The 15079-nt window shown below is 42.8% G+C and overlaps 1 protein-coding gene across 2 annotated transcripts in view, besides 2 other annotated features; it reads right to left on the reverse strand.

Moving 5' to 3' along the window:
* Positions 1-15079, reverse strand: part of TACR1 (tachykinin receptor 1) — a 153058-nt gene that overhangs the window by 6458 nt on the left and 131521 nt on the right. For both annotated transcript variants that reach the window (NM_001058.4, NM_015727.3), the window contains exon 3: positions 685-835. In NM_001058.4, coding sequence (NP_001049.1) covers positions 685-835 — 151 coding nt within the window. The remainder of the gene's footprint in view (positions 1-684; positions 836-15079) is intronic.
* Positions 788-867: a silencer, noted in NCBI's record as "silent region_11678". NCBI's record gives its function as "represses an Ori minimal core promoter by ATAC-STARR-seq in GM12878 lymphoblastoid cells {active_cell/tissue: GM12878}" and the evidence as "EXISTENCE:reporter gene assay evidence [ECO:0000049][PMID:35858748]".
* Positions 12187-12286: a silencer, noted in NCBI's record as "silent region_11679". NCBI's record gives its function as "represses an Ori minimal core promoter by ATAC-STARR-seq in GM12878 lymphoblastoid cells {active_cell/tissue: GM12878}" and the evidence as "EXISTENCE:reporter gene assay evidence [ECO:0000049][PMID:35858748]".

Genomic DNA, 15079 nt, shown 5'->3' on the forward strand with positions numbered 1-15079 from the left:
CAGGTAGTCTTCACCTAGCCTCCTCCAATGATATCATCTTACATAACCATACCACATTATCAAAACCAGGACACTGACCATTCATCAAACTACTGACTATATTTGGGTTTTTGCCAGTTTTTACATGCACTGTTTTTTTTGGTGTATAGATTTATGAAATTTCATCACAGGTATAGATGAAAACACCACCACAGTCAGGATACAGAGCTGCTCCATCACTGCAAAGAAACTCACTCACGCTCTCGCTTTGTAGGCCACTCCTCCCAAGCCCCCTCAAACACTGACTCCTGGAAACCCCTGATCCGTTCTTCATCACTATAATTTTGTTCCTTTGAATGCCTTTTGATGTTTGAACCACGTGAATGTATTATCTTGTCAAACTTTAAGAAGAGGACCAAATCACTCTTCACTGATCTTTTATTTAAGTGTGCGTGTGTGTGTGTGTGTTTTAATGGATCAAGAGGTTGCAATTACTCTTTAAGAGCAAGCGAAGTGGCTCATGCCTGTCCAGCCAGATCTGGGTTCCAAAGACACTGAAGAAAGATTCCTCTCCTCCTCTCTGTTGCTCCCCATACCTGGGGATATTTTGTGCTAGCTGCCTCTGGGGCTCACAAGTGTGCCATCCCTTCTCGACAGCCTGTTGTCTGTGCCAGGGTGGGTTAGTTCTGCCTGTCCCCTGCTCACCTTGCGCTTGGCAGAGACTTGCTCGTGGTAGCGGTCAGAGGAGTCCCCGGGGATCTCACTGGCCCATAGTGTGATTCCCACTACGGTGTATGCATAGCCAATCACCAGCAGGGGGAGGAAGTAGATCAGCACAGTCACACAGATGTGGTACCTACAGCAAGGTAAACAGGAAAGGTCAGTATGATATACTTATTATTTTAGGTTTTTAATTTTTGTTATTGTTATTGCAGTCAAGGTTTGGCAGCTACCTTTCTCAGCATATGCCATTAATAAGCTTGGGCTGTAAAGCCCACTCCAGGGAGACTTGTCACCTGCATAGGGTGGATAGGTAATACTAATGAATACACTACAGAAAACAATTTATGTTTTTCTTGTGGACTTTTTCCATAATGAATACTCCTGTTCAGATTAAAAAAAAAGAAAACATTGATGACAGGGCACTGAATCTGTTGTATACCCATAGCGATTTCAGTTGATGATCAGTTCAATATCACTTGCCCCACACCACCCCCCAAAACAAGAATGCAAACTCAGGCTACATTAATAGAAGTATAGTCTCTGAATGAAGGAAGTAATTATACCACTCAATTCATACCCGCCAGACTACACTTATGCTCAACTTAGTGCAGGGTTGTAGACCAACTAGTACGTTCAGTTGAGAACTACCATGATGGTTGATAAGGCCCAGTTTATGCTATGTGATAAGTGAATTTATCGGTATCAGAATAATTAGCCTGAATGAGAGAGATAAGAGTAATCCTAGAACTAGAATTAGTGGGTGGGTGAAAGCCACATAGCATAAGCCATTTCTAAGACTGGGCTTTAAGAATATATCTTCAGATAGAAGCTGCCTGGGTCCCTGAATTACCCATTGGAGGACAGGTGCCAACTGACTCACGTTTGACTGGGACATGAGCAAGAAATAAACCTTTGTGGTGTTAAGCCACTGAGATATTGAGGTTTGTTACAGCAGCACAATTTATCCTTTTCTGTTAAAGGGAAGGCTCCTTTTCAGACTTAAATAAGGTTTTTGAATTTTGGGAAAATATATTTTTCTTGGGGGTTTGGGGGTCCTTGGTTTGTCTGGTTAGTTACAGCCCTTTTCTTAGATGTGAGTATAATGGAGATACTCAGAATTCCTAATAATAATAATAATAATACTAGGAAGAACAGCTAATGTTTGGGGGCACTTACTCTAGGTCACTGTGCTAATAATAATGCTAATGATAGTATTAATAGCAGAAATGGTAGTTAAATTTGAGTGTTGATGAAAAGCACAAAGCCAAGCATTTTACTAGCATTATCTTATTTAATCCTTAAGCAAATGATTGGGTAGGTACTATGAATCCCATTTTGTAGACGAGGAAACCACATTTAGAATTTAATTAATTTTCCCAAATTCACAGCTGGTAAAGGGAGGAGCTGAGATTAGAATCCAGGTCTGTGATGTCAGAAAACCAGCCTTTTGTCAATGGAGAAAAGCCACCCAATGATTTTTTTCTTCCCCTCTGTTTACCATTCATGATTATTTTATGCAATGATTTTCTTCCAATGAGGAAAACCCACTTATTCACTCAATTTCTCCTTTGTAGATACTGTTTGCTTTTAATCACTTCTTTGTAAAGCCCCACAGTTTTTGCTACTTATTCAGTCCCTCTGCATATCAAATTTGCATTTGAAGATACTCAAAGACTGCTTAAGTGACAAATCACAGATTGCACCAAGCAGGGTGTGAGTGCATGTGTTCTGTGCAGACAGGCTGCTCCAGTCTCACCTGGCTTTCAAAGCCCTCTGAATTGTCGCCTCCTTTGGGAGCCTCAGGGCTCTCCAACCACTATGGCAGGGACAGCATATTGTGTTTCCTAGCTGATCTCAGTCCCTCCTGGTTGCTGTAATGGCATTGCTTGTAAGCAAAATGTTTGGAGACTACAGGGGCAGGGAGAACTTGAAAACCTCCAAATTGCACTGACTTCTCCTACCTGAAAGAACAGCCCTGCCTCATGCAGACTAATAGTTTGTGACCAAAACATGTTAGCTGAGCTTTGCCGAGACATTGCTACAGGGCACTGAGCAAGATTGGGTCTGAGTGTGATGGGAGGGACACTATGGTCAACTCGCCGATACTCCTTACCCTGGACCAGTGGCCCTCAAACTCGAGTGGGCTTCAGTATCACCTGGAGGGCTTCGACAACCCCACAGGGCTGGGTCCCACCCAGAGTTTCAGACTCAGCAGGGCTGGGGTGGGCCTGAGAATTTGCATTTCTAACAAGTTCTCAAGAGATGCCGATGTTGCTGTTTGTGGTTCAGACTTTGAGAAACATTGTCTTAGGCCAACGGTTCTCAACCGCAAATGTAAAAGAGAATCACCAGGGAAACTTTTAAAATGATCAGTGCCCAAAGGTATTCATTCAATTGACTTGAGGTTGGGAGCAGGAAATTACATTTTAGAAACTTCCCCCAAGTTACTGTAATAGACATCTAGCACTGAGAACTGTTTCAGACCTTAGGTATGCAAGTCTATTGGGACTCCATTGTTGTCCGTGATTTAATGACTTTATTCAAGTGTGTATTAACTGTGTTTTCTGGTTCTGTATCTGATACTTTGGCATCTGGGTCCCTGCAGCTCAGGGAGGGACTGTTTCAGGCAGAGCTAATTCCTTTGGAAAACAAACAACTTTCCACTTGGATGCCTTTCATATGCAAACTAACCGAAACAAAGCCCATACTTCCACTTGCTTGCTTTCTTGGGCTCTTACAGGGTAGGACACTATTTTCCCGCCCTAATCACCCAACGGCAGGCATCAGACAACTAGGGGCAGCTCCTACACCCCGGAGCCTGCCGAAGTTATTCAAACCAGCCAATCTTAAACCTGTTTACCCGGCCTTGCCTGCTCCTTCCTGAGAAAACCCCAATAAAGGCTTTCCTGTGTGGCTTGGCTTGGTGTGGGGCCATGGCCCTTCAGCTTGGGAACTGTGAGTAATAAAGTGTCTTTCAGTGGTAACCATGTCCTGATCTGTTGGCCACACCATACCTGAATACAAAATACAATCTGCTCTTTCCCTTTGTGAAATCACAGATCAGATCATTATGAACATGCAAAGATAAATACGTAAACATAATTTATCAGCCTTTAAAAAATCCCTCCCTTTTTAAAGAAGCAAAAGTTATTGTTATTTATTTGAAAACAACAAAAAAAATGGGCTTAATTTCAGCTAAAATGTGTTACAGTCAGGAGCATTGGTTTTTCCATGTTCCTATAGAGATAATTAAATACAACATAGAAATAGGATCCAGCAATTCTATTTTTAGGTATAGACACCAAAAATTGAAAGCCAGGACTCAAACAGACATTATTTGAATCTGCACACAACATCATTCACGACAGCTAAAAGGTGGAAACAACCCAAATGCCCACCAATAGATGAATGGACAAACAAAATGTGGCTTATACTTGCAATGGAATATCATTCTGTCAGGCCTCTGAGCCCAAGCTAAGCCATCATATCCCCTGTGACCTGCACGTATACATCCAGATGGTCTGAAGTAACTGAAGAATCACAAAAGAAGTGAAAATGGTCTGTTCCTGCCTTAACTGATGACATTACCTTGTGAAATTCCTTCTCCTGGCTCATCCTGGCTCATCCTGGCTCAAAAGCTCCCCTACTGAGCACCTTGTGTCCCCCGCCCCTGCCCACCAGGGAACAACCCCCTTTGACTGTAATTTTCCACTACCTACCCAAATCCTATAAAATGACCCCACCCCTATCTCCCTTCACTGACTCTCTTTTTGGACTCAGCCCGCCTGCACCCAGGTGGAATAAACAGCCTTGTTGCTCACACAAAACCTGTTGGGTGGTCTCTTCACATGGACGCGAGTGAAACATTCAACCTTAAAAAAGAAGGATGTTATGACATGTGCGACAACATGGATGAAGCCTGCAAACATTCTGCTAACTGAATAAGTCAGACACAAAAGGAAAAGCATTGCAGGATTGCATTTATATGATCTATATAGAATAGGCAAATTCGTGGAGACAGAAAGTAGATGAGAGGTTTACCAGGAGTTGGAGGGAGGAGATGGGAGTTATTGTCTAATGGGTACAGAATCTGTTTGAGATAAAGATGTGGATAACTTTGTTTAAGGGTGGGTGGGTAGAAAATTTCAGCTGTTACAGAAAGGTCGAAATGAAGTATCTCTGGAAATGGAAGGTGGTGATGGTTGCACAACATTGTGAATTTACTTGGTGTCACTGAATTGTACACTATAAAATGGCAAATTTTGTTATACATATTTTATCACAATAAAATTTAGTAATAAATTATGTAAGAAAAATTCAGCTAAGCTGGCATTCTAGGTTTCCAGATTCGCAGTCTTTTGCTCCCCCAGGCACTTGACAACTACACCCTCCCCGTGCCACATCCCCACTGAAAAATAAAAGGCAGATTTGATCCTTGGATGAGATAAAAGGTTAAACACATCCTTCTAAATATTGCTTAGATAAACCCCATTTACATAGAAATTACAAATGCTCAATCCAAACAGTGTCCAACTTATCAAAAATTATAAGTGAATGTAGGTCAAATCAATGAAATTCCATTATTAGAAAACATAAAATTAAATACTTTTTTTGATCTTGATGTCTTTTTCAGAAAAGTATTTTTTAAAATCATATCTTGTAGTTAACTGGAGATATGTCTATTTATATGTATATATTTGTTAAAATCATTATTTTAGAGAGCTGGTCAATGAGCCAGCACAATCTTATTTTGTGTGGCTCTATGCTTGCTTTGGCTTTCATTCTGCTATTTCCTAGATTTCTGCCAGTTAGGATTTTATCAGCTCTCAGAATTAATATCTGCCTTGGGAGAAGAGATCTGGGGTTAAGGATGCACTATAAGTGAACATAACAGCAACAGCAAGAGACAGCAACAGAAGAGACTGGCTGACCCCCACCTGGTGAGATATGTGCTGGGTTGTCATAGACCTGAGAGAACCCAGCACCATGATTTTGATCATTAAATCCTGCTGATGAGCTTATCGGAACTTTCAGAAGGAAGGCTCAAGCAACAACTTCATGCCTTTGTTCATCCCTGTAAGCAGTGAATGAGGCTTGACACATTTTACAGGATAAGCTTGCTGAATGCAGACCATGTAGCCTCAAATCCTGCAGATTCCCTTGTCCTTAATGCCACAATATCTTGGTGCTCATTAATCTAGGTTTCCTTATATCTCACTAGTGGGATCATTGTTGAAAGCAAGAACAGTTTCAGTTTCTGAAATAATCCTCAGCATTTGAAATCAAGGTTGATAGGCTAATTAAATAATAACTAGGTGTCTTCATAATGTACTTGGAGGAGACTCTGGGTGCCTTAAGGTAGGGGAAGAAGGCAGCCAAGAGGGCACAGCTCTGGGTTCTCCATCTTTATTCTAATGAGATAGTTCTGCTTTGCTGGGTTTACATATTGGCTTTCTGTGGATGATATTGTTTCGGGGTGGGTGGGTAGAAAATTTCAGCTGTTACAGAAAGGTCGAAGAGCATTGATAGAATCCCAACCCCAATCCAGTGCATTACCATTCTTTGCAATATCCATACCACATAATCATCCAGAATCTTCTTGAATACCCCTGTGACAGGCTGCTCACTACTTCTAAAGCTGAGCTACATCAGCAACCCTTGGAAGCCTATTACAGATGCAGACTCTCAGGCTCCACCCCAGAGGGACAAAATCAGAATATGCATTTTAACAAGACTACCCAGTAATTCCTGTGTATGTTCAAGTTGGAAGCACATAGCTCTTGGTCTTGGTTGCACATTGGAATTGCCTAGGGAGCCTTGAAAAATTCCAATGTGTAGATCCCACTTTAGAGCTTCTGATTTAATTGGCCTGCAGTGCAGCTTTGGGCACCAGAGATCTAGAAGCTCTCCAGGTGATACTCCTGTGCAGCTGGGGCTGAGAATTACTGGCATTGAGACTTTTGATGCTGGTAGCTGCAACTGATGCAGTTCCTCCTTAAACCCAGTGAAAAAACCTGTGGTCACGTAGCTTTCACACTTTATCCTATGTCACAAACAAACCTGAATCTGCAAACCTCCTGGGATGGTCCTGCAAATGCAAGGTGACCATGAACCTGCTGTTCCCCAGAGCCCCCTTTGCATTGAGGGCTTTTGAGGCCATCTCTCATTTGATACAAGCTGAGCAGCCTCGTTCCTCCTGCTCTTCCTCAAATGTCCTTCAGGCTTTCTCTCCTTCTCACAGCATGGTGCTAGATGCTTGACTTTTTACTTCCTGGAAAAAAAATTTCAGGTCCATGTGGCTTCTTGATAGTAAAAGAAAGCAATACTCATGTATTTATTGGTTCACTCACATCTGGGTGTTAGAGCCAAATTCCAAAGACCTTTGAAAGTTCTCTTGCAGGCAGGCAAAAATTGCAACTGGTTAATCGATAAATTCAGCAAAGATTTATTCAGCACCTGTTCTATATCTGGTCTGGTGCTAGGGGCTGGGGACACTGAGGAGAGTTCTAGTCATTGTTTTCTTCTTCCGGAGCTCACAGTCTGCAGGGGAGTAGTGCCAAAGAGTGTGCCATGGGAAGTGGCTGACAGTGGTTACCTCTTCAAGGGGAGTGGAGACATTAAGGAGAGGCACGAGTGAGCCTTTTTCAAATATAGATACAATGTAAAAATTAAAAATAAGCCTAAATACATGGTCCAGTGTTTTGTGCATGTGCGTTAGTGCATAATGCATTGGTGAGATATTCAACCAAGCTGGTCAGGGAAGCTTCCTGGAGGAGGAATTGCATGGCTAAGCCCTGATATACAAGTTGGAGGTAGGCAGGTGAGTTGGGCACTATAGGGAGGGGAGGGAGCAAGTGCAAAGGCATGGGGGAGGAGCCTGGCATGAGGCAGGTACTAAGATGCCATTAGAACTGAAAAGGACATGGCTGTGTGAAGAAGTGCCACAAGACTTGGCTGGAAAGGAAGACAGAAGCAAATCACAAAGGGCCTTTTATGACAGACTGGAGAGTTGTGATTTATTTTGAAGTTGGTGGAAAACCATGAGGTGGTTTTAAACAGAGAATGAACATGGTCAGATACTTGTGCTCTGGCAATAGTGGAGCATGGATGGAGGTGGAAAAGTCCAGAGGCAGTGAGCCTTTGGGGTGCTCTGCGGGCCTGGCAGGAAGTGGCGCTGGCCTGAGTGAGGGCTGTGGCAGGATGGATGGATGATATGAGGGGAGAGATTCAGGAAGCACTGTGGCTTGGGGGAAGAGCTGGTGGACTTGGCTGTGGATGGCAGAATTTACCTGAATTTCTGGCCTGGGTGAATGGGGGAGTGAAGGTGACTGTCACTAGTGTGGGGACCCAGGGAAGAGGAACAGGCTTGTCGGGCAAAGTTGGTAGATTGCCTTTTGGATATGTTGACTTTGAGGGCCAGCAGTTAGATGTCTGTATCTGGATTTGGGCTGGTATTAGATTTGGGAGTCCTCATGTGTCCAAAAACCATAAGAAGACAAGCGGATGCAAGATGGCCATGAGAAGAGAGGAGGTCCACATCTTGCGGTTGGGGGCAATTCCAGGGGAGAGGCTGGAGGGGAGAGGGAGGGGCAGGAGGGAGAGAGACTCCAGGGGCGGGTACAGCCTGCCTCTGAGGGGAGGGAGGATGAGGGTAGGAACTTGCTCTCTGCTTTGGACATCAGAGACCCAGGGCAGATTCAATTTTAGTGGCATCGTCAGAGAAGGTGATGATGGACCAGGTGAGTCGAGTGGGAAGTGAGGAAGTGGAAGCAGTAGGTGTAGATTCCATTCTTAATATACTTGGCCACGAAAGGGAGAGGAGAGAGCAGTCGTTAAATGGGGCCAAGGGCCGAAGGAAGCTGTCTGTGTGTTTGGTTGAAAGGATAGGGGATATGAAGCCCTCTGTACCTCTCTGACACATCACCCAGTCTTCCCTGGGTTATAGCGACACGAGTACATGTCCCATCTTTCTGCAGAGACAGGCCAGGACCAAGCCTCCATCAACTGCATCCAGACATAGGCTCTGGGCAGGAATGTCCCAGAGTCGCCCTGTATCGTGATGGGGTGACCAATCAAGGTGGATGCTCAAGCGCATGCACTTAAATTCATGGAAGAACTGGCGTCACAGGATCCCCATGCTCAAATGCTGCTGCCTTCTGGTGGAGTCAATTCCCATGGGGCAGCTCCTCAGAGGGAAGGCCACACTGACACCTACCCATGAACAAGACAGGGAAGGAAGCAAATTCTTACTGCAGTCTCTGCTCAAATTGCACAAGTCAGAATTTCGTTGTGTTGTTCTCCAGGTTACTTTTTATATACGACTATTTCATCTGCTTGATTAGATTAAATGTTCCTTCTAGGCAGAGCCCATGTGGTGCTCCTCTGTTTTCATCACAAAATCAGCACCAAGGAAATACTTCATAGAAAAATATCATCTTGGGTTTCAAAAAACACTGGAATTCTCACCAGATTTGTCCCCCTCATCCAGCAAGAAGCCCTGTTGACAGCGTCCTCCTCAGAAATTGGCCCAGCATCTGCTTGAATGAGAGCCTTCAGGCAAAGAGCCCGAGTGCCTGAGCTTTTCTTACCTCTTTCTTCTTTAATAGATAGGTTTCTCACTACAAGTACTATATACTCATCGTCGATTTGAAAATACAGACAAGCATTGAAAAAAACTTCAAAGGTTTTTCTAATTATATCACCTAGAAATAAATTCTGAGAAAATGGATTGATATCTTCCTCTATCTTCCTGATATCTTCCTACACACACTCATATTTGTACACACATAAGAATACTGTTAGATTACTTTGAAAACAACACTATGTCACAATCATCTTTTTATGTCAATAAGTATTTCTATAACAAAATTTTTAATAGCTGCAATAATGTTCTATTGCATGGAGGTACCATAGTTATTTAGCTAGTCTTCTATTTCTTCTATTCGGGACATTTGAGTTATTTACAATGATCTAATATTTAAGCGATACTTTAATTAACATATTCAAATATGTGTTGTTGCTCCCATTTTTATTTCCCAAGGTTAAAGTCACCAGAACTAAGTTAAAGGGTTTTTAAAAGGTTTGATATATACTGTCATTTTCCAGAAAACACGTGCCAATCTGTACCAGTTTATGAGATTACCCTTTTGTTTGCACAGCTGCACTGGGCACTATCAGGTATCATAGTTTTTGCCAACATGATAGGTCATACATGGTTCTCTACTTTAATTATAATTCTTAACTCATTGTAACTTAAAATTTTATAATTGTATTAGTCTGTTTTCATGCTGATAAAGACATACCTGAGACTGGGCAATTTCCAAAATAAAGAGTTTTATTGGACTTATAGTTCCACATGGGTGGGGAGGCCTCATAATCATGGCGGAAGGTGAAAGGCACATCTCACATGGTGGCAGACAGGAGAAAAACTTGTGCAGGGAAACTCCTCTTTTTAAAACTATCAGATCTTGTGAGACTTACTCACTATCACGAGAACAGCATGGGAAAGACCTGCTCCCATGACTCAATTACCTCCCACTGGGTCCTTTTCACAACACGTGGGAATTCAAGATGAGATTTGAGTGGGGACACAGCCAAACCATATCAATAATTATGCTTTTTAATCATTTTCATTTCTTCTTTTGTGAACTGACTGCTTGTATAATTTACTCAGTTGTATATTGGGGTGGTCATATTGTCTTTCCTAATTTGGAAAGAACTCTTTATGGCTTCTATTGTGTTATACTTAGAAGGACCTTCTCCATTTCAAAATCACAAAAACATTTACTGATATTTATTTATTTGTTTATTTGCATTATAACTATTCAGCCCATTAAGGATTTATTTTGTTGAGTATTATGAGAAGAAACTCCAAATATTTTTTTCTCCAACATTGCTTACACTTTTCCCAGGACCACTTATTGGATACTCTATCCTTTTCCTGATGATTTAAATTTGCACTTGGACCACATACCACTCACTATATTGTTGGCTCTGTTTCTGGGTTTTTCTTCTGTTTCCTTCATCTATCCCTCCTTACTGGTGTCAGCTCTGCACCATCTCAACTTTTATGACTTTGTAACACATCCTTTATCTATGGCAGTACAAATCTCCTCTTATTTCTGGGATAGAAACCGACCTGGATTACTCTGGTCTTAACTCAGAACACGTAGGACTTTAATCGTTGAACAAATGAACCCTTAATAGTGGCTACACCATTAGAATGTCCTGAATTTTACTTAGTTTTTAAAATAAAATATCTTCAGACCTGCACATTTCTTACGAAGAAGGTTAGAGAATGGTCTCAGTTATTTAGAGCCAGGTTGGCAGCTTCTCAGAAGAGATCAGGTTGTAAATCCACTGGCCCTTCCCAGCATGACATGCATGATGAAGTGTAGTGGTGAATGTTGTTGGTCTGCCTTGGACCTCATGGCCCCCTTACAGATTCTTTCTTGGGCAGCAGTGTTAGGAAAAAAAAAAAAAGGTTCTGAAAAGGGTGCATTGCTAGGAATGGCTCAAGAGTCTGGGAATGCTCTAACGAGAGACATTGAAACACAGACTCATGCAGAAGAAGCTGAGCTCCCTCACCCACACTCCTCCTCCCTTCAGTCTGCTTAGGGAGAGGAGGCAGGGCAGTAATGGTGTTTGAGGAGGCAAGTGGCTGATAGTCCTGCCTGAAATTTCAACTGGGTAGATACGTTAAGAAAAACAAACAAAACTTGAATTCTAAAGCTTCTGCAGGCTTTGAATTGCTGAGAGAGGACAAGTTAGACGGTCTTTGGGTTGGCTGGGGAGCTTATTGTATTTTGGGATAGGAAAAAATAGGGCAGAAGCCTAATTTAGGTGGAGAGTGAAAATGCTAAATTGATCTGTGTGGGGAAAAAATATAAAGAGTACAGGTAACAAGAAAAAGGGAAAAAGATACCATATTAAGCATGACAGAAAGAGGGGCGAGAAAGAGTGCGAGTGCACCTGAGCCCCATGGTTGGAAGAGGGACTTGCAAAAGGACACAGCCAGCAAGACATTTCCTGCAGGGATGGCTGCTCAATGCATTGTAAAGAACAGTGGTATCTGAGTGCGAATTCAAGAAAACACAATTTTGTCCTAGGCTGTAATTCCCCGATTCAGCTCCTCAAATCTTTAGTAAAATATGCCTCATCCAAAAATTCCATGGTAGTGGGGCTTTGAGGAAATAAAGGAGAGTGACTCTTTCCCAGAGTGGAGACAAGTGGGCAGGCCAGGGCTGGTGGCGACCACAAAGCTCCTAGTGGTAAGTTAAGGTTCTTACTTAGGGTGGAGAAGAGGATGTGGTGGAGAGGGAGACCCTGCCTCAGGCAGCAGGGAGACAGAAAGGGACCTCCTGAATCTGCATTATGCTCCCTGGTCAGCCTTTCCAGCCTGGCAAGATGATATCAGTCATCTGAAGATTCCTGGAATCTCTGAGGATGTTCTCCAAGTCCTCCGGCCCCAGATACGGAAATGTGAGGCAGGTAACTGCCACCAGGTGGCGCCAATCTGCAGCCGGCACCTGGACCAACCAGTATTCATTAGGCATTTCAGTAACCTAGCAAGAAAGCAGCATGCATTTTATGAGGTCGAATTCATTACACACCACACAGTGCCCACCTCCCAACCCCTACATTCCTTACCATGTCATGGTGCAGTTTTCCAGTATGTGGGGTGTTTTGTTTTAAACCACTGTAGCATGAGTTTTGCAAATCCCCTTGGAATACTGCAACCCTATTGAGGACAAGGCTGCATTTTATATGTGACATTTGCTCTGAGTATCAGTGGGTACTGATACATGTTTTGCTGATATAATCCACCCACTCTCAAACCCTCTAGATGGGTCTTAATTCTATTGTGTTGTGCTCTGCTTGAGGTTGAGTTAGCTGAGTATCGCATCGCCGCAGTGGAAGGCTTTTTGCTGGGTGGGTAGGCAGGGACAGATCTGGGATGAGCTTCTCTCGATGCAGCAGCTGGAATGAACACTGGGCTGGGGTTGGGGGTTGTGGGAGACGGATTGGATACATGCAGAAGTGAAGCTTGTACTTTATCCTTCTGTCACGCACTCCAAATCAGCTTATTTTTGGTGGGACATTGTTTAGAAACTGCTTCAATTGGTGCCAACGGATATGAGTAAACATTTCTTGATATACGTAAGTTACACCATAAATGTGGGTGTTGGTTGGTATTTTACACTTCCTCTCATCTCTCTCTGGAGTTTGAAAAAGCACTTAAAATAATCAAAACAGTTTTAGTCCCAATAGCCTGTGACTAATAGCCATCCATGTCTCTAAGTCTGGACTAAGCATCCAGACTCACAGCCCTGATGCTAAGTGCCCATTCTCTTTGCTGTGCCCTGAAAATATGTACTCTCAACAAGACAAATCTTAATACAGCCACTACTAACAACTGGCCAGGAACCTTTTCTTCTGAGGAAATTTATTATCAAGTGTAATACAATGTAAATAGCTATCGGCTTAGAAGATGTAGAAATTTCATATTTTCTACCTGCAGTAGTTTCATTGTAAAGGTGTTTCTGGAGAGTGGATTCCACTTCATCTCATTACCTCTGGGACTTTGGGTAAAAGAGAGATATTGCTAACCTCCTTTCAACAGGAAAAATTAAGGTGTAAGGAAGGTAATTGCCTTGTTCAAGTCACTCAGGGTTGAAATGGGAATAGAAAACAGATCAGTCCTTGTCTCATTTCAGCCCTGTGCATTTCTTTCTCTTTCTGCTCAGATGAGCTAAGAAGAAGAATGGATAAATGTCACTCAGAGCGGGGAAACCACAGTTTTTCAAGAATGAACAAATACGTCAAGCACAAAAATTATCTGCAGCATTTTATAATGGCAGATAATTTATTGAAAAATTGTGTAGCTTAAAAAAGCAGGCCCAGGATTGAAATTCATCTAGACGAGTGACTGGAATGCGGCCAAGTCTTCGATTCCATTTCATGTTTGGATTCATTCTTGTATTTCCACAGCCTGTTCTTGTCTTGAACCCTGAGCCCAGAGAGACTCTCGGTTAACTGAAATATGTGGGAAAGACAAACACCCTACTTTCTTTTCTTAGCCAAAAGTTTCCCAGCATAGACAATAGACCATTATGCCATGAGGCACATAGACTGCCAGTCTACAGTTTCCATTAACAAATTGGGCAATGCAATTTATGTGTCTCACAAGAAATTGTCAAGGATACTACATTAATCAATTTGAAGTCTGTTGTGAATTGTGTGTGAGAGGACAAACATTTAATGTGGGAGTGATGACAGATTTTTCTACCTCCCCAAGGCATCCAAAGAGAATCTAATAATTTCTGGACTATCTTTTATGCAACCTCCTCGTCTTACAAAAAAAAGGTCTTTATTGCTGGAAGAAAAGCTAAGCTAATCTATGCAATTGAGACAGAAAGTCTATGCAGATTGGATGAGGGAGAGGAGGTTTTGAATGGAGAGGGTCCGAGGGGAGCAGTGGGAGATTATGAGAGCAGGAGGTTAGCTAAGACAGGGACTTTTTTTTGATAGGTATTGTGGTGGACAGTTGTTTGGGGCACTTTTTAATGGAATTTCTATTTTATCACTTTTGCTAATTAAGCCAGGCTTCCTCAACTTCACAGTTCTTAGATGCTGAATCATGCAGATTTAGGCTTTATAAAGGCTTCATATATATTGTTAGCAAAGTCACCTGTTCAGGTTTGGGGCCAGCCGTGTGTTGAGGTAGCATCTTCAGTTATGGGCGAGGAACATGGGAAGAGGAGGCTGCATAGTTGCTGCTAGGCCCCATGGGTTCAGCTACCCAATTTTTCATGAACCTTCTATTTTGTACTAGGTGCTGAGGATATAATGGTGAATAGAAACGACATGGTCCCTGCTTTTGAGATGCTTGAAGTATAGTGGGGAAGACAGATAATAAACAGATACATCAGCAAATAAATATAAAATCATAAATGTTGCTAAGTGAATAGAGGAGCCAAACAAGGGGAGTGGTAGAGAGTACCAGGGGTGTCCACACAAAGGACTCTGTTAAGGTAATGTTTAACAGAGACCTGAAGTTCAAAGCAGCGACGTGAAGGGTGCAGTGGTGGGTGCCCCATGCAGAGACAAAAGCAGGCACAGAGGCCCTAAGGTCCAAATGTGCTGGGCACATTGGAGAAGCTAACAGAATGCCTCTGTGGCTTGAGTGGAGGGGTTGAGGGGTGAGGGCCATGAGATGTGGTGGGGGCCACAGCCTCTAGGGTCCTTAGGCCATGCTGTCAGGAGCTGGGCCTGCAAAGTGCCAAGTAAAGTCACTGAAGGGGTTAGGCAGGGTGGGATATGATCTGGCTTTGATTTGGTTAGACATGCAAGCCTGGGCCCCGGTAAGAGGCTGCAC

Source organism: Homo sapiens, chromosome 2 (genome assembly GCF_000001405.40).
Source record: "Homo sapiens chromosome 2, GRCh38.p14 Primary Assembly".
NCBI lineage: Eukaryota > Metazoa > Chordata > Mammalia > Primates > Hominidae > Homo > Homo sapiens.